The sequence below is a fragment of the Homo sapiens genome, chromosome 1 (genome assembly GCF_000001405.40).
Source record: "Homo sapiens chromosome 1, GRCh38.p14 Primary Assembly".
Taxonomy (NCBI): domain Eukaryota; kingdom Metazoa; phylum Chordata; class Mammalia; order Primates; family Hominidae; genus Homo; species Homo sapiens.
In genome coordinates, this window is record NC_000001.11 from 91481799 (window position 1) to 91500849 (window position 19051).

At 39.5% G+C, this 19051-nt stretch overlaps 1 long non-coding RNA gene across 2 annotated transcripts; it reads right to left on the reverse strand.

Annotated features, from left to right (window-relative positions):
- Positions 1-7222: 7222 nt before the first annotated feature.
- Positions 7223-19050, reverse strand: LOC105378856 (uncharacterized). Of its 2 annotated transcripts, XR_947599.4 has the most exons (3): positions 16717-19050; positions 9206-9326; positions 7223-7437 (listed from the first exon to the last, which is right to left on the reverse strand). It is a non-coding gene; the product is annotated as an uncharacterized LOC105378856 (long non-coding RNA). The 2 variants fall into 2 exon arrangements; XR_007066221.1 differs by lacking the exon at positions 9206-9326.
- Position 19051: the final 1 nt, after the last annotated feature.

Here is a 19051-nt window from a genome sequence, read left to right on the forward strand (position 1 = left end):
GCTACTTGGGAGGCTTAGGCAGGAGAATCGCTTGAACCCAGGAGGCAGAGGTTGCAGTGAGCCAAGATTGTGCCACTGCACTACAGCCTGGGCGACAGAGTGAGACTCAAAACAAAACAAAAACAAAACAAAACAAAACAAACGCACACACACACACAAAACAAAGCACAGTGTCTGGTTCATAACTAGGCATAGGTGTTTTCTTGCTTCTTTTTCATATTATCTGCTTCCTGGATTGTCTGCATAAAACCTCTTTTTCTCAATTATAACAAGTTGTTTTTCATCACTTGACTGCTTGAATATTTTGAATATTTTTTCTTGTTGTTGAGATTTTACTTCAACCCCCAGGAATAATTTGCTAAAATCTCTTTAATATACTCAGATTTTTGTGCTCTATATATTTAAATGGAGAGGAAGAAATGGGAAGAGAACCATAGTGAGTTGAATGGTACCCAAAAAATATATGTCCAGGCCGTCAACCCTGCAACTTGAAAATGTGACCTTATTTGGAAAAGGGTCTTTGCAGATGTTACTAAGCCTAGGATCTCAAGATAAGATCATTCTGAATTGCCTGGGTGGGCCCTAAATCCAATGACAAATGTCTTTATAAGAGATACACAGAGTAGAGACAGTGAGAGAAAAGGAGGGGCCACGTGAAAATGGAGGCAGAGACTGGAGTTATGCTGCCACAAGGCAAGAAATACCTGGAGCCCCCAGAAGCTGTGGAAGAGGCAAGAAAGGATTCCCCCTAGAGTCTTCAAAGGGAGCGCAGTTCTGCCAACACCTTGAGTTTGGACTTTTGGCCTCTAGAACTGTGAGAAAATACATTTCTATTGTTGTAATCCACCAAATTTGTGGTCATTTGTTATGGAAACCACAGGAAACTAACATAGAAACTAACATTTATTGGATCCTAGCACTCTTCTAGGAGCTTCAAACATGTTGTTTCATTTAGCCCTCAGAAGTACTTGGTAAGGCAGTATTAATTAGATGCTCATCTTTAGATGAGAAACTTACCCACCCTCACTAGGTTAATGAGTGGTAGAGCTGAGATTAAAACTAAACTAAATTAGTCTGATCATAAAGTTCATATGAGCTATCTACTGTAATGTGTTACCTGCCAAATAAATTATGTCTCTTTCTTTTTTTTTTTTAGACAGAGTAGTGCTCTGTCACCCAGGCTGGAGTGCAGTGGCACGATCTCAGCTCACTACAACCTCTGCCTCCTGGGTTCAAGCAATTCTGCTGCCTCAGCCTCCCGAGTAGCTGGGATTACAGGTGCGCACCACCACACCTGGCTAATTTTTGTATTTTTAGTAGAGATGGAGTTTCACCATTTTGGCCATGTTGGTCTAAAACTCCCGACCTCAGGTGATCCACCTGCCTCCGCATCCCAAAGTGCTGGGATTACAAGCATGAGCCACCATGCCTGGCCAAATTATGGCTCTTTATAGAGAATGTGACATTGGAAAAAGTCAAGAGATCTTCTTTTATCCATAAAGGTAAAATAATTTCACCATATAAGTGCTCATAAATATTTACTGTCTGCTTGATATGGACAGGAGGGTTTAAGTAGTGTTTAGTCTATTTTCTATTGCTATAACAGAATACCACAGACTGGATAATTTATAAAGAAAGGTTTATTAAGCTCATGGTTCTAGAAGCTGGGAAGTTCAAGAGCATGGTGCTCACATCTTGTGATGGCCTTTCTGTACAACATCACATGGCAGATAGGCAGAAGGGCAAGACAGCACATGTGAGAGAGAGTTCACTTTTATAAAGAAGTCTTACTGTGATAACTAACCTACTTCCATGATAATAGCATTAATCCATTTAGGAAGGTGGAGCCCCCATGACCTAATCGTTTCTTAAAGGCCCCACCTCTTAATAATGTTACAATGGCAATTAGATTTCAAGATGAGTTTTGAAGGGAATATTCAAACCACAGCAAGTAGAAAAAAAATAGCAATATCCCTAACAAATATACCATGGAGTGCTATATTATTGGGTGAAATTCAGCCCCGATATTTTACATAGGTTCTATTCTATTTTCCCTAAGTGTCAGCCAGTCTGAGAAATAAAGGGACAGAGAAAGAAAGAGAGAAATTTTAAAGCTGGGTGTCCAGGGGAGACATCACATGTCAGCAGTTTCCGTGATGCCCCCCCGAGCCATAAAACCAGCAAGTTTTTATTAGTGATTTTCAAAAGGGGAGGGATTGTACGAATAGGGCGTGGGTCACAGAGATCACATACTTCACAAGGTAATAGAATATCACAAGGCAAATGGAGGCAGGGCGAGATCACAGGACCACAGGACTAGGGCGAAATTAAAATTGCTAATGAAGTTTCGGGCATGCATTGTCATTGATAACATCTTATCAGGAGACAGGGTTTGAGAGCAGACAAGCGGTCTGACCAAAATTTATTAGACGGGAATTTCCTCATCCTAATAAGTCTGGGAGCACTGCAGGAGACTGGGGCTTATTTCATCCCTACAGCTGTGACCGTAAAAGATAGCTGCCCCCAAAGTGGCCATTTTAGAGGCCTCCCCTCAGGGACGTATTCTCTTTCTCAGTGATGTTCCTTGCTGAGAAAAAGAATTCAGTGATATTTCTCCCATTTGCTTTTGAAACAAGAGAAATATGGCTCTGTTCCACCCCACTCACCGGCAGTCAGAGTTTAAGGTTATCTCCCTTGTTCCCTGAACATTGCTGTTATCCTGTTCTTTTTTCAGGGTGCCCAGATTTCATACTGTTCAAACGCACATGCTCTACAAACAATTTGTGCAGTTGACACAATCATCACAGGGTCCTGAGGCGACATACATCCTCCTCAGTTTATGAAGATGATGGGATTAAGAGACTAAAGTAAAGACAGGCATAGGAAATCACAAGGGTATTGATTGGGGAAGTGATAAGCGTCCATGAAATCTTCACAATTTATGTTCAGAGACTGCAGTAAAGACAAGCATAAGAAATTATAAAAGTGTTAATTTGGGGAACTAATAAATGTCCATGAAATCTTCACAATTTATGTTCTTCTGCCATGGCTTCAGCCGGTCTCTCCGTTTGGGGTCCCTGACTTCCCGCAACAGTATATTTCAATATTGGTATTTACATTTCTTTTTTCTCTTTATCTTTTCTTGTAGATGACTTTAGTCTTTTGTGTTTTCCTTTAATAATCTATTCAACAAATATCTTTTTAAGTATCTATCATATGCCAGGTATTGTGCTAGACAACAGTGAAAAATGAACAAGATATTATTCCTTTCTTCAAGTTACTCCAAAAGTAAAATTATTTACAGCCTATAGATAGTATAGAATAGGTAATTTGAATACTTTTATCAGTGAGACAAAGTTGCTAAAACTTACATATCTTCTTTTCTTTACTGCCACTCAAAAACTAAAAATTCCCCACCTTTGTGTCAAACATAAATCTCTATAAACTCAATTTTATACAATATGCTTGAGACAAGTTGGCAGTATGACATAAGTACATGTAGTTAATCATGACAACAGTATGGAGAATGGATGAGAGTCAAGACAGTCCCATAGAACTTCTACATCTTTTCACAGTTTAGGATAGCTCAGATTATGGTGTGAATTCTCCACACCTGGAAACAAGAGGCTCTGCAAAGACTATCTAATTAAGCAAGGTGACCAGTGTCAAAAGATGAAACGTCTCTATTACTTAAACCAGTTAAACATCACTAGTATTGAACACTTCTTGTGCATCCTGGAAGATGATTCCCTATTGATCTCTCACATTTATGCATGTCTTCCGAGTAGCTTTTGTTCCAGACTATCTTTTTGAAGGTGTTTGTATAGCAGACAGCTTTGGAAAAATAAGATAATATATCTCTCCGAGAAACACCCAAGAATGATCAATAAATACTAAAAAAAAAAAAAAAAAAAAAAAGATAATATATCTCTCTGCCTTGGAGGACAGATTTTTTTGCTGGCCAGTTGTCTTAGTCTGCTTGTGCTGCTATAACAGAATACCACAAACTGGGTAACTTATAAGGAACAGAAATTTCTCTCAGTTCTAGAGGCTGAAAGTTTATGATCAAGAAAGGCACCAACCTTAGGTGTCTGGTGAGGGTTTCACCTTCCAGAGAGGAAGGATGCAGTGTTTTCACATGACATAACGTGGAAGGGCAAAAGGGACAAGCTCTCTAATCAGACCCTTTTATCAGGGTACCTAATCCCATTCATGAGAGAGGAGCCCTCATGACCTAATCACCTCTTAATGGCCTCACCTCCTAATAATATCACATTGGCAATACCTGAATTTTGTAGGGGACACATTCAAACCATAGCACCAGCAAAATGAAGGCCAAGTTTCTACCAGGGAAAAGGCTAGGCAGTTTTGCTGGGGGCTGTCATACAAAAGATTGAGGATTGTTAAGCTTGGAATATCTCAGGTATTCCTCACGCTGTATGTGCCACATCCACTTGGACTCCCCTCTGTGTTGTCCTAGTGGAAGTTGGAGGAAAGAGGTGCTAACATGAACATGAAATTCAGGCTGCCTGCTGTATCGTATGGAATAAAGTCTTTGTCTGATTCAGCAGTCTCATGCCTTCTGCCAGTGCCCATGAAACTGTGACAGGCAAACTTGTTAGCTTGCAAGTAGGGTAAAATTCAAACCCTTCCCAGCTCTGGACAGTGCACCACTTCAATCCTACCAGCCAGACCTCTCACTTCAGCCACTGCTGCTGCTGCTTGTTTCCTGTAGACCTCAACTAAGTTTGTGCAGAAGTGATTCGATAGTATTCTTGCTTCAACCTGTGAAGTGTTCCTCTAGCTGTCTGCCCTGGGGAACCTCTGGCACCCCTATATAGAACACCCATAGGAACCCACTCAGCATTCTGGCAAGGGAGAGGGAGTTGACCCATGAGGGACAGACACTAATGGATAAATATTTGCTTCCCCTTTTAAACTGAGGTGAAAAATTCTACAATACATTTCAAAAGCCTCCTCAGAAGACACTGCAGCATTGTGTGCCAGTCATCCACAGGAGTGGCTAAACCCTTAATATTTAATACATACTCATCTTGGCTTCTCCTCCTTCCTGTTTTGTATGCCTGCTCCCTGGAATCACATTGTTTAATAAATGTTGCTGGGCTTTGGGGGAACCCAGACAGACACTATCTTATATGTCCTAGCTTTAGCAATTCATATTTTAGTGTAAGTTAACATTCTGAATGCTTGAAGAGTTATTACTGCATCAGTGCCGGATGTACCAAAACTGAATAGTACCAAAAGTCTGGGATGTTGAGTTTTGACAGAATCCCAAAACATCTCAGGTGCTTTAAGAAGAATGTTTAGTCCCTATGTTATAGGAGGTTCTTGTATTGCTATAAAGGAATACCTGAGACTTGGTAATTTATAAAGAAAAGAAGTTTAATTGGTTCACAGTTCTGCAGGCTGTACAAGTGTGGTGCCAGCATCTGCTCAGCTTCTGGGGAGGCCTCAGGGAGCTTTTACTCATGGTGGAAGGCGAAACAGGAGCAGGCATGTCACGTGGCAAAAGCAGGAGCAAGCGAGAGCCAGAGGAAAGATGCTGCACACTTGTAAAGAGCCACATCTCTTGAGAACTCGCTATCACGAGGACAGCACCTAGGGGATGAGGCTAAACCATTCATGAGAAACCCACCCACATGATCCAATCACCTCCCACCAAGCCCCACTTCTAACACTGGGGATTACAATTCCACATGACACTTAGAGGGGACAACATCCAAACTATATCAGTCCCTATTATCAGTCCTATATTAATTTCTTTCATAGGACTTCCTAACCTCATATTGAAAAAGGTCAAATATAAAATCATAACCACAAAATGGCACGAAAGAGGGAAGTGGGCATATCACGTGATCACATTCATTTCTAAAACTGTCTATTCAAGGTTTACAAGAAAAAAGAAATTTTGGAATGCTTGTTGTTAGAGCAATTTTATGATAAAGTGCTCAATTTGTTCAAGGAAAATGTAAACTTTAAGAGAACTTATCCTTCACGTTTAATATTCATGGTAACTACTCATGAGTGAACTACAGTGGAAATGTGGTAGAAAGAACTCATTGGCCAGGGGTCTTGCTACAAGGAACTACCTTGTAAAGTTAACTTTCTTTGACAAGTTCCAGATGTGCTTCATACCAGAAATATTGAAACACAGGAACATAGTATAGATCACAGAGATGTGATTTCTTGCAATATAGAAGATGAGTGTTTAAATAATACTCATCTAAACACAGGATCTAAAAATCGAATATAATTTTGTCTGCTTACAGGATCTAAAAATTGAATATAATTGTGTTTTTAATTTTTATTTTTATTGGTAAGACTGCTATTTATTTGGGGTGATATGCTTATACATCACATGCTAGGAGACACTGTTCATTCTCATTCCTGGGCCTCTGTTTTCCCTTCTCTTTTATTTTTTGGTAGCCACATTCAGCCATTTTCTTAGCTATGTGATGGCTGGAAGAAACAGTGGCTATACATATATATATATATATATATATTTTTTTTTTTTTTTTTTTTTGAGACGGAGTCTCACTCTGTCACCCAGCCTGGAGTGCAACCTCGCCTCTCGGGTTCAAGTGATTCTCAGGCCTCAGCCTCCCCAGTAGCAGGGATTACAGGCTCTCACCACCATACCCAGCTAATTTTTGTATTTTTAGTAAAGACGGGGTTTTGATGTGTTGGCCAGGCTGGTCTCCAACTCCTGACCTGAAGTGATCCACCTGCTCTGGGTTCCCAAAATGCTGAGATTACAGATATCAGCCACCGCACCTGGCCAGCTATATATTCTTAAAACATACAGCTCACGATCTTCAGGGTGCTTAGAAGGCAAGGGATCCTTTTTAGCTCCCTACAGCATATTCTCTGAGATCACTGTTACCCTTTCTGAGAGATGACCACAAGGGGATATTTCTAGGTAGTGAGGATATAACCCTAGTTTTGTAGTACCCAGAGGACCTGCCAGCTTTCTAAAGAGGTGTCATAATTTGGAGCTCTAAATTTTGAGACATTTGTGGTACTCTAGCCTTTTCATGTGGCTAGAGAGAGAATAATGTACTAGAGAACATAAGTATCAACATAGAATTTGAACCATTCAGAAGGACTAGAATCATTGTTATTGAAGGATGTTGAAGAATTTTATTGACTTTACCACAACCCATTCCCAGCTACACAAGTGGCAGCAAGAAAAGACTCTGTGTGTCTTTCCCTTCACTTTAATAGAGGCACTGAGTATTGCTGGCTTCTCCTCCCTCCTCATGTCAAAATTAAATGCCAGTCACTGTCCATCCATGGTCATGCTGTTAACAAAGACTTCAGCAAAGAGACTCCTGCAATATTTCCTCCATCTCCTGCCTTGTGGAGGATCATGGGACAAGTGTATTTTTTCACATAGAAAGATTAAGCTGCTGCTCTCTTGTCAAGAAAAAGAAACTACCATTAGAAAGCACTAGTCACAATTCTGAGCTGTTGTAATTAACAAATACTAAGTAAATATTTGTGTGCTTTGTTTCTCCATATTAAACAACTGATGTATTGTATGGTAAAAATTTCTTCTGCACGCCTTAGTGACATTTGGTTTATTTGTATGTTGACTTCACAATGCAAGCTGCAATTATGACGCTCACAAGTTGGCAAACTTTTCGCATAAAGGGCCAGCTAGTAAATATTTTCGATTTTGTGGGCCACACATCTCTGTGGCAGCTACTCAACTCACCTCTGCCATTGTAGAGTGAAAGCAGCCATAGACAATACCAAACAAATGAGCATGGCTGTGTTCCAATAAAACTTTATTTATGAACACTAGAATTTGATTTTTATATAATTTTCATGTGTCCCAAATATTCTTTTATACATTTTTTTCAATAACTTAAAAGTGTAAAATCCATTCTTAGCTTGCAGTGTGTACAAAAACAGGTGACAGGCTGGATTTGTCCCACAGGGGATTTGGTCTATAGTTCTCAGACCACTGTGATGCTCCAAACTCAAACTTACGAGAGTCAAGTTTATCACTATATTTAAAGCTTCAAAGTTAATTGTGCCTATGCCTCCATTTAAAATTTATTTTAGGGTCAGGCATGGTGGCTCATGCCTGTAATCCCAGCACTTTGGGAGGCCAAGGTGGGCAGATCACCTGAGGTCAGGAGTTTGAGACCAACCTCGCCAACACAATGAAACCCCATCTCTACTAAAAATACAAACTTTGGCCGGGCATGGTGGCACATGCCTGTAGTCCCAGCTACTCAGGAGGCTGAGGCAGGAGAATCACTTGAACCTGGGAGACAGAGGTTGCAGTGACCTGAGACAGCACCACTGCACTCCAGCCTGGGAGACAGAGCGAGACTCCATCTCAAAAATAAAATAAAATAAAATAAATTTATGTTAGTATTTTGGAGAAGGGGCAGTGATGGATAGCCTAACTGGAAAATTCTTCTTTGGGATAAAATTTTATATTTAAAACTTGAAACTAAGCAGATAATTGTTCTAAATCTGAAAAACCACTAGCATTAAACCCCAATTAATATTGCTGTATTAAGTTATATCTTAGTAAATTGTCTTAAATAATGGACAGTCACAACTTTATGTTTTTAAAAAATCAATATTGGCTAATTACAATCTTATTCTGTAATTTTAAAACACATAAGAATATGAAAAGTTTTGTATAGTATTGATACATCGTTTTTAAAATGTGCTCTTAAGCATATTTCTTTTCCAGCAAAAAGGCACCAACACAAAGGGCCTGAACTTGAAATTTCTAGGGATTTTTCAAAATCTTAAATCATCTTCTTTAAAGATAACAAACAATTGGAAGTCAAGCCATTAAGATTTCATCATACTGGATATTTTTCCCATTAATAGCTGAACTGATATAATCAGCACATTTCAGAGTAGTACCAGATGCTAGCAAGTTTCAGTCCCTGGAGACGAAACTTGACATATCACAGTACTTGCTCCTTGACCTCCCAGTCCTAATAGTATTTGACTATATACTGGAGCCCTGGGAATGTACAGAAATCTCAATTTTCATAAGTTTGCATTTAAATTCTTAAAATATGAATTTGGTCCTGTGAGTCTCTCTGAATTTTAGTAATAATAACAGGATTTTTTTCTCCAGAGTGTTTGAAATCTGTATATCTTAGGAGGAAAATATGTGTTATTTGTTTTCTTTGCATGCTGTAATTACCTTTAGGTGCAACATATTTATTTCATACTATAAATACTTTTTCTCCCTTGGTAGATTTGCAGGTTTTTTTTTTACCAAGTTCCCATTCTTCACGTTTTTAGTTTTTGAAATTGGGTTGCAACTAGCCACAGGTACCACCAAAAAAAAAAAAAAGATAAATGAATAGATATAAAACAACACTAGATAGATAAATAATTATTATACTCAACTGTTTGGGTTCCTTTTAAAAAAATTGTCTTTAATCTACTCCTGAGAGATTTGTATCTCTTTAAACTGCTACAGGACAATAGGACAAAAATTAGTATCTTTTTTTCAATAATAGAGCATGAAGTTACCTGTACTTGAAAATTGAATTTCAAATTGAAGTCAGCCTGAGCAAGTTATTTGCTAGCCAAGTTGAAAAAACTTTAAAAAATATATAGTTGAGATCTCCTGGAAAACTGGATATCCACATGCAAACGAATAAAGTTGGGGCCAGGCACAGTGGCTCACACCTGTAATCCCAGGACTTTGGGAGGCCCAGGCGGGCAGATCACCTGAGGTCAGGAATTCGAGACCAGCCTGGCCAAAATGGTGAAACCCGTCCCTACTAAAAGTACAAAAATTAGCCGAGCGTGATGGCAGGCACCTGTAATCCCAGCTACTCAGGAGGCTGAGGCAGGAGAATCACTTGAGCCCGGAAGGCGGAGGTGACAGTGAGCCGAGGTCGTGCCACTGCACTCCAGCCTGGGTGAAAAGAGCGAGACTCCATCTCAAAAAAAAAAAAAAAAAAAAAAGAATGAAGTTGGACCCTTACCTAACACCATCTACAAATATTAACTCAAAATAGATCAAAGATCTAAACAAAGAGCTAAAACCATAAAACTCTTAGAAGAAAACAAAGGGCCAAATTTTCTCAACATTAGATTTGACAATGATTTCTTGAATGTGACACCAAAAGCACAGGCAACAAAAGGAAAAAATAGACAAACTGTACTTTATGAAAATTTAAGCTTTTGGGATTGTTTCCTTTGGGGAGTAAAAACAAAACAAAATCTTTGTGCATCAAAAGACACTATTAATAAAGTAAAAAGTCAACCCACACAATGGGAGAAAATATTGTCAAGTTATACATCTGATAAGGGATTAATACCCTGAATATAAAAGAACTCCTAAAATTCAACAATTAAAAAAATTCAAAAAATTGGAAAAAGCCTTTAATATACTTTTCTCCATAGAAGATATACAAATGGTCACAAACACATGAAAAGATGCTCAACATCAAAAATTACTTGGGAAATGCAAGTCATAACCACAGTGAGATTCCACCTCACATCCATTAGGATGGCCACCATTAAAAAAAAAAAGTGTTGGCAAAAATATGGGGAAATTAGAACTCTGTGCACTGTTGGTAGAAATGTAAAATGGTGCAGCTGCTGTGGAAAACAGTATGGTAGTTCATCAAAAGCTAAAAATAGAATTACCATATGATCTAGCAATTCCACCGCTAGGTACATACTCAAAAGAATCAAAAGGGTCTCCCATGTATACCAATGTTTATAGCAGCATTATTCACAATAGCTAAAACATGGAAGCAACCCAACTGTTCATGACAGATGAATGGATAAGCAAAATGTGATACAGTCATCCCTTGGTATCCATGGGGGATTGGTTACCAGACCCCTCACAGATACCAAAATTCACAGATCCTCAAGTCCCTTATATAAAATGGTGTAGTATTTTCACATAATCTATCCAATCCTCCCATATATTTTAAATCATTCTAGATTACTTATAATACCTAATACAATGTAAATGATATGTAAATAGTTGTTATACTGTATTGTTTAGGGAATTATGGCAAGAAAAAACATCTGTATATGTTCAGTCCAGATGCAAACATCTATAGTTCCCCCTGAATATTTTCAATCTCAGTTGGTTGAACCCACAGATGTGAAATCCACAGATACAGAGGTTGTAGATGCACACGATGCATCTACATACAATGGAATATTATGTAGTCTTAAACAGGAAGGAAATTCTGACATATGCTACAACACAGATGAACCTTGAGGACATTATGCTAAGTGAAATGCGCTTGCCACAAAATGACAAATCTGTATGATTCTGCCAGAGTTACTTAGAGTAGTCAAATTCATAGAAACAGAAAGTAGAATGGTAGTTGCCAGGGTCTGGGGGACTAGGGAATGAAGTTATTGTTCAATGGGTGTAGAGTTTCAGTTTTACCAGGTGAAAAGGGATCTGGAGATGGATGGTGGTGATGGTTGCACAACTACGTAAATGTATTAATACCACTGAACTGTAGTATGCTTAATGATGGTTAAGATGGTAAACTGTATGTTATGTGTATTTTACCACAATAAAAAGGAAAAAATATATAGTTGAGGTCTAATCCAAATGAAGACCTTTGTGTTCAAAGAATCCTAGATTCCAATTTCAGCTCTGCCACTTACTGGCTTGTTGTCATCGGTATTTACTTAATCTTTTTTTTTTTAAGACAGGATTGCTCTGCCTCCCAGGCTGGAGTGCAGCAGCCTGATGATCTCAGCTCACTGTAGCCTCGACCTCTCAGGCTCAGGTGATCCTCCCACCTTCACCTCCCAAGTAGCTGGGACTGGAGGTGTGCACCACCATGCCTGGCTAATTTTTGTATTTTTACTAGAGATGAGGTTTCGCCCTGTTACCCAGGCTGGTCTCAAACTCCTAGGCTCATGCAGTCCACCCACCTCAGCCTCCCAAAAGTGCTGGGATTACAGGAGTGAGCCACTGCGCCTGGCCAGTCTTTTCTAAAGCTAATATTTCTGATCTATAAAATAAGTCCAATAATTAAAGAATTAATAAGATAACACATAAAAAGATCTTACTACAGTGCCCAACTCAGTGCCTATGACAGTGTGCATCAAATGCATCCCCTTCCCTTACATTCATTATGTCAATAATTCAAATATATATCAAATGGGATCAAGAAGGAATTGCGGAGGTTTTCCCTTATAGCACTGCTATTGAACTTTTCTCATTTTTGTTTGGGATGCTTGGATGAGAGAGAAGTCTCCCAGTTTGGTTGCTAGAATTTATGTCCCTCAATGCCAGTACTATGTTCTTTTACCTCATTCAATGTCCATTTACCTCATTAAGTGGCCCAAAGTGTCCATTTCCCTCATTATTCTAATATAGGCCTAAACTTAGATATTATGTACTTACCTCAATTCCAGCTGTACCCTGAGGAAAGGGGTGGAGGGCAGAACAACTTATCCCAATTCCCTCTCAATAATTCACCAGGTTCTTATACAGAAACAGGCCTATTTTAGAGGAGCAGTGGGCCACAGAGAAAGTGCTGTCACCAGCTGGCTAGCTCTTGTTGTGAGCCCATACCTTGTGTGCAGGGAGTATCTATTCTATTTGTTCATACTCTCCCACTGTTGACTCCAAAGAAGAATACTCTGTTTTGGGTGTTTTTCTAAGGAGAGGTGTGTCTAGAGGAAAGTGCTATGTTAGTGACCCTTCTTGAACCATGACTTTGACTGCTACTGACTATCATCTTCAGGAGGAAGCCAAAAAATGGCAGAGTCAAGTCTCAATCCATCATCCAGACATGTAGGATATGCATGGAAGCCCTTCCTATGTTTAGAGCTCAGGCCATCCCTTCCCTAACCCCTCATCCAACAGGGACCCACTGCTCACTAATCCACCTCCTCCAAAAAGCTACATCAGAGAGAAAGGGATGTATTTTCATTGGCTAATTTGTTCCTATGATCCACTTGTTAGAATCACTGACCTGGTTATTATTACTTCAACTGCTTTCTCTTGCAAAGGAGACCACATTTGGTAATGCTACAAACAACATTCTTGTCAATCAGCAATGATGAGATCAGGGTTGCTACTTTTGCTTTCTTGTAAGCCTTGTACTTAATCAAACTAGGTGCTTAGTCTCTTTTTTTCATCTCTTAAGGAGAAATAAACACAGAATAGAAACGTCCTATATGCTGCATAAGGCCTCATGTAGAGGAGACTAAAAAAATTGAAGCTTTTCCAAAAGAGACCATTTCAGGTCATCTATTTTAAGTTCTCTCTCTCTCTTTCTCTCTCTTCTTATATTTGTATAAATTTAAGGGATACAAGTGCAGAGTTGTTACATGGATATATTGCATAGCGGTAAAGTCTGGACTTTTAGTGTATCCAGGACCCATATAATGTACATTGTACCCATTAAGAAATTTGTCAACCATCACACCCCTCTCACCCTCCCATTCTCCTGAATCTCCAATGTCTATCATTCCACACTCTATGTCCATGCGTACAGATTATTTAGCTCCCACTTATAAGTGAGAATATGTCACTCTCCATCTCTAAACATTTATTGAATAGGTCACTCAGCTTATAGCCTCTTCCTCCTATAGTTTATTTCCTACACTAAAGTAATCTCAATAAATTAAGTCTATTTCTCTCTCTCCTATTTAATACCCTTCATTAGTTCTCTATAGCCCTCATTTTGAGAACAGCACACAAGAAACTTCATGATATGTCCGTGTCTACTCTCTAGCTCACCTCCTACCAGTATTTTTCTTGCTGTTTGGGCTAAAGTAATACCAAACAACTTACAGTTCCCTGGAAACATTTGTCTATTTCAATCTTCTTAGAATGCGTAGCAGAGTATCTCTTCCTTACCCTGTTGACCTGGTAAGCTCCTATCAATTTTTCAAAACCCAGCGTGGACTTTCCTTTTCCAGAAAAACTTTCTGACCCAAAGTTAATCACCCCCTCGTAGAGTTGTTGCTCAAGTCAAGTAATTAATAAATGTGTATTGTTTAGAAGAGTGCTTGGCATGTGGTGAGCTCTATGTCACTGTTAGCCATGATGACAATGACGATGATGAGATTCTCTTACACAGTAATTGACATATATGCGGTCAGTGAATATTTTTCCAATGTTGTTGAATTTGTCAAATAAATGAATAACATGGAATAAGTGCTATTCATGTTACTGTGATAAAAGCTGGAGTACAGGTTGCTAGGGAAGCACGCACCCAGGAACTCAACCTATTCAGTTGGTGAGGCTTCCCTGAGAAAGACATGCTCCATGCTGGGTCATAAAAGATAAATATGAAAACTGTCCACTTCAGCCATTAGATATATATCAAGCTACTTAAGAGTGGAGTCCTCTTTTTAGTCATTTGCATATTACAAGTACCTATTGTGTTGCTGGGCACAGCAAGTGTGAGAAGGCATTCATTGAATGAAAAAATAAATTCAAATGTTAGGTGTCTTCCATGAGCTCTCCTAGAAGCTTTAAATATTATTTGGTTTGTGTAACAATCCTGTAGGCAGTTTTTTTCTGTCCTACATTACTAATTGAGAAATCAAACTTTGGTAAATTTGTGGACCTTTGAGTATTTCAAATTTTCTTGCTGTTTCATTGTAGTTTCAGAATTGATTCATACCTTTTAGATTTTTAAATAATTTGCAATTTTGTTTTTGAAATAAAAATTTTCCCCATTAAATTCTAAGTGTTTCGTCCTGGTATACTTTATAATGCCTGGCTAGAATTTCATTTTATAACCTAGGAATTTCTTCATTTACTTGGCATTGCCCTAAGAAATAATTTCTGTTCAGTTTCAAAAGCTGTGTATTTCCTTTACTTTATCTCTTTTTTTTTTTTTTTTTAAGACTAGGTCTTGCTTTGTCACCGAGGCTAGAGTGCAGTGGTGCCATCACAGCTCACTGCAGACTAAACCCCCAAGGCTCAAGCAATCCTCCCACCTCAGCCTCCCAATTAGCTGGGACTACAGGTATGTGCCACCATGCTGAGCTAATCCTTTTTACTTTTATTTTTATTTTTTGGTATTTTTTTGTAGAGACAGTATTTCACCATGTTGCCCAAGCTGGTCTCAAACTCCTGGACTTAAGCTATCTGCCCGCCTCAACCTCCCAAAGTGCTGGGATTACAGGCATGAGCCACCACACCCGGTCTGCTTTATTTCTATCCTAGGTTAATAAATTCCTTAAAGATAGGAGGTTCTAAGACAGTGTGTCAGCTATTTATATATATAATAGTGGAAAGGGGGATAAGACTTCCACTAACTTTTCCTTTGTCATTTCTTTCTTTCCTAGTCATTTTTTTTTTTTTTTTTTTTTTTTTGGTGTGTGTGTGGGGGGGCGGGGTGTGTCCTTTAGTAGGGACATTCATGGAGAGAGAGATGAGCAAAATTATTTGAAAGTTGTTCTGGGAACCTATTCTGAGTTCACCGTACAACTGACCAGAGACTCCCCATTTCTCCCAGAGTGAGAAGTTGCACCCAACTCAAATTTCCACAGGCCTCAAGGTCTCCAGTAGCTGGGCATCTGGTTTTCCCAGACAACTCTTAGAATCACTTGGCTTCTAAATGCAGATTACCTGGTGCCTAAGTAGTTTGAAGTCTACTAATAAGATTGTTCTCATGTGCTCCCTCTAAGACAAGAGGACACTTAGGAGGGCAGGATCCCTTTGCAATAGCACAGATCCACAATCTCACTGGCACAAACAGGTCCATGGCTTTTCTTGCTAACTCTGAGTTAGTAACTTCTTCCAGCCCATAATGGGTCAGCCGTGAGTTAGGGAAGGGACAGATCCTGGGCTAGGCTATCTAAAGAAAACTTCACTGACTTTGGAGGATGCAGAGATAGAAACAAAAGACAAAAAGACACACACACACACACACACACACACACACACACACACACACATGCACATGCAGCACAAACAGACCTGGAGGCAGAATAAACATGTTATGAAGGAAAAATGGTAAAGGCACTGGTCTGACCCTAAAGAAAACTGTGTGTATGTAGTTATCAACATCTCTAAATAATAATTTTTATTAAACAATCTATCTCCACCTCCAATCTGCTTACAGGAGACATAAGTGCAACCAACCATTTGAAACCTAATGTCTAGCTGAGCATGGTGACATACAGCTGTAATCCTTGCTACTTGGGACGCTGTGGCAGGAGAATTGCTTGAGCCTCGGAGCTATAGTGATTCATGATCATGCCACTGCATTTTAGCCTGGGCAACAGAGCGAGACTCTGTCTCTACTAAGTAAATACATAAATGAATGAATAATAAAAATAAATAAATAAAACCTAACTTCTCATTGTACATTAATTCCATAGCCATTTATTAAATCCATACTATGTGAACAGCCATGTGCTAGGTATTAGGGATGGGATCATTGACAAAGGGGGAAAAAGTACCCATTATAAATTAACTAATACAAGCTAACAATGTCCAGGCCTATGGGACCAAGCACTTTACATGTATTATGTCACTTTATCTAATTTAATCCCTATAGCAAAACCAAGCAAGTATTTTATCCATGTTACATTTTTGAAATAGGAGTGTCACAGATATTGAATAACTTGCCCAAGTTACACGGCTAGTATAAAGTTTATAAACAATTTGACACTGTAGCCACTATTCTATTTGTGCGCCCTACCCCCCAATAAAGACAAGAAACCAAACTAAGAAACAAACCAAACCTCAAGAGTTGTCTCCATTTGTAGATCTTTTGTTCGTCAATAAATTCAATATAGTCTTTCTGTCTCACTCCAAAGCTGCTCTTTCTGAAGGCTCTAATGACTATCTCTGATCAATTCTGTATCCTCACTACTTCTGTGAAGCATTTGCTATAGCTGACCACTTTCTTCTAATTGTAAAACTTTCTGCTCTTGACTTCTATGACATCACCTTCTTACCTCACAGACTACTACTTCTCAGTCTCTTGCTGGTTCTTCCTCCTCCTCTGCTCAACTATGAAATGTTGGAAGTTATCATAGCCCAACTCTCCATCTACAATCTTTGCTTAGATAATATCGTATAGTCCAAGACTAGGTTTCATCTATAAATTCATAACTGCCAAGTTTATTTCTTCACCCTGAACTATACCCCAGACCAATATATTCATCTGTTTCTTTGACATCATCACTTGCATATCTTGGACTTGATTATTGTTAACGACCTCCCGATAATGACCACCAGGAACACAACTATAGCTGAGCAACTTGGATGTATTGCTTGTTTCAGTACGTGAGAATGCACACCATGGGGAACCATGGGATGTCTTAGGAAGAGGGTGTTAAAAAGGACTTGTTATAGAATTTGAGTTTGTGTTAGGAGATTTACGGAAGGGTGCAAGAAAGAGGGACTTTGGCCTGGATTGGAAGCTGTAAGGAAGCAAGGATAATTCTATAATTGGGTATTTTAATAAGTATTATGTAGAAGGAAGGAAGACTAGACTGAGGTTAAAACTATAATTGGTAAAGAAGCAGCAGGCACTCATATTAGCTAGGATAAGGAGATATTTGATCATTTTTATGGCTTGGGCAATGTTGATGTTGTGTCTGTGTTCACATATGATTATAGAGTGATCTTACTTTTGTCTTGATCTATCACGGTCACAACTCTGTCTTGTCTGATGTTCTGTGAAATTGTTTATGTTCAACAGAAGAATACCAATGCTTGGCTGTGATTGCCAGGCCAGCTCAAAGCAACAGCAAACCAAGCTGGTAGTACCAGGCCATCTCCTGGATGTCAAGGTCTGCTTTTCTCTTTCTCGGTATCCACACTAGAATCCTTGATTTACTCTCTTCCACCTCACTCAATCAAAAACCATTACCTCACAGACTTCCCTTCTATGTGGCACTACCACCCACACATATGCTAGCCCAAAACCTAAGATTCACTGTTGATGATGCCCTTTTCTTCATTTTCCATAGCCAATCACCAAATCCCATTGTCTTCTTTCTTTTATTTCTTCCGCCATTGTTCTGGTCCAAACTACCATTATGTTTCTCCTAAACATAAAGTGCATCCTATTTCCTCTGCTTCCACACTTGCCCCTCTACAATCCATTCTCTTCATAACAGATAGATCATATTACTCCCTTGCTTTAAAACTTTCAAATAGCTTCCAATTGTACTCAGAACAAACACTAAACTTCTTACCCTGGCTTTCAAGGACCCTGGTCTGGCTTCTGCCTAACTCTCCACCTTCATCTATCTGGGACTATCTTGCGGCTCACTCACTATGCTTCCCCCACACTGGCCTTTCCTGCCCTGCCCCTGCAACATACCAAGTTCCTCTTTCTCTCTGCATTTGCCCTATCCTTTCTTTGCCAGGACAACAGTCTCCCTACCAGCTCTTTCTCATCCAGGTCTCTTTGAGAGGGCTTCCCTGACCATCTAGATGCCACCTTCCTGGTCAGTATTTCCCTCAAGTAGTAATCAATGCCGGAAAGAATACTGTTCATTTATTCATCCGTTATTGTCATCGCTTCATTGGAATTTAGCTTCCTACAGGGATGGTGTTTATCTTGCTCACTATGATTCCAGCCCCTAGAAAAACCCACCTACCTCATAGCCAAGGGCTCAGTAAATAGTATACACTGCCTTCCTGCCACTGTGCTAATTTCTACTAACACAGCCACAAACAATCAGCAATTACATTTTCTGCTTGTTTTTAACGGGGAAGTAGGGCACTCAACGAAAAGGAAATAAAAGCAGAGTCAAGAAAGTGCCTTTTATCCATGGAGTGCCCAATGTGTTGTGCGGCCGGCCACGTATATAGGGATGTGTCAGCACCTGAGATTTTTCCTTCTCTGAGCTAGCTTCTTTCCTGGAAATCATGCTGGGCCCTTAGCCTTATGGTTCACCCTGTTTTTTAAGATCATCCACGGGCTTCATTCCCGTAACCGCTCTTCTAGCTGGCCAAGGCGGCGGGAAGAAACCCCACCCTCTTGCGCAAACGCCCAGTAGCGGAATCCGCGGGGTCGAGGGCTTTAGTGTGCGCATGTGCAACCAGAGCGGCGGCGGGAAG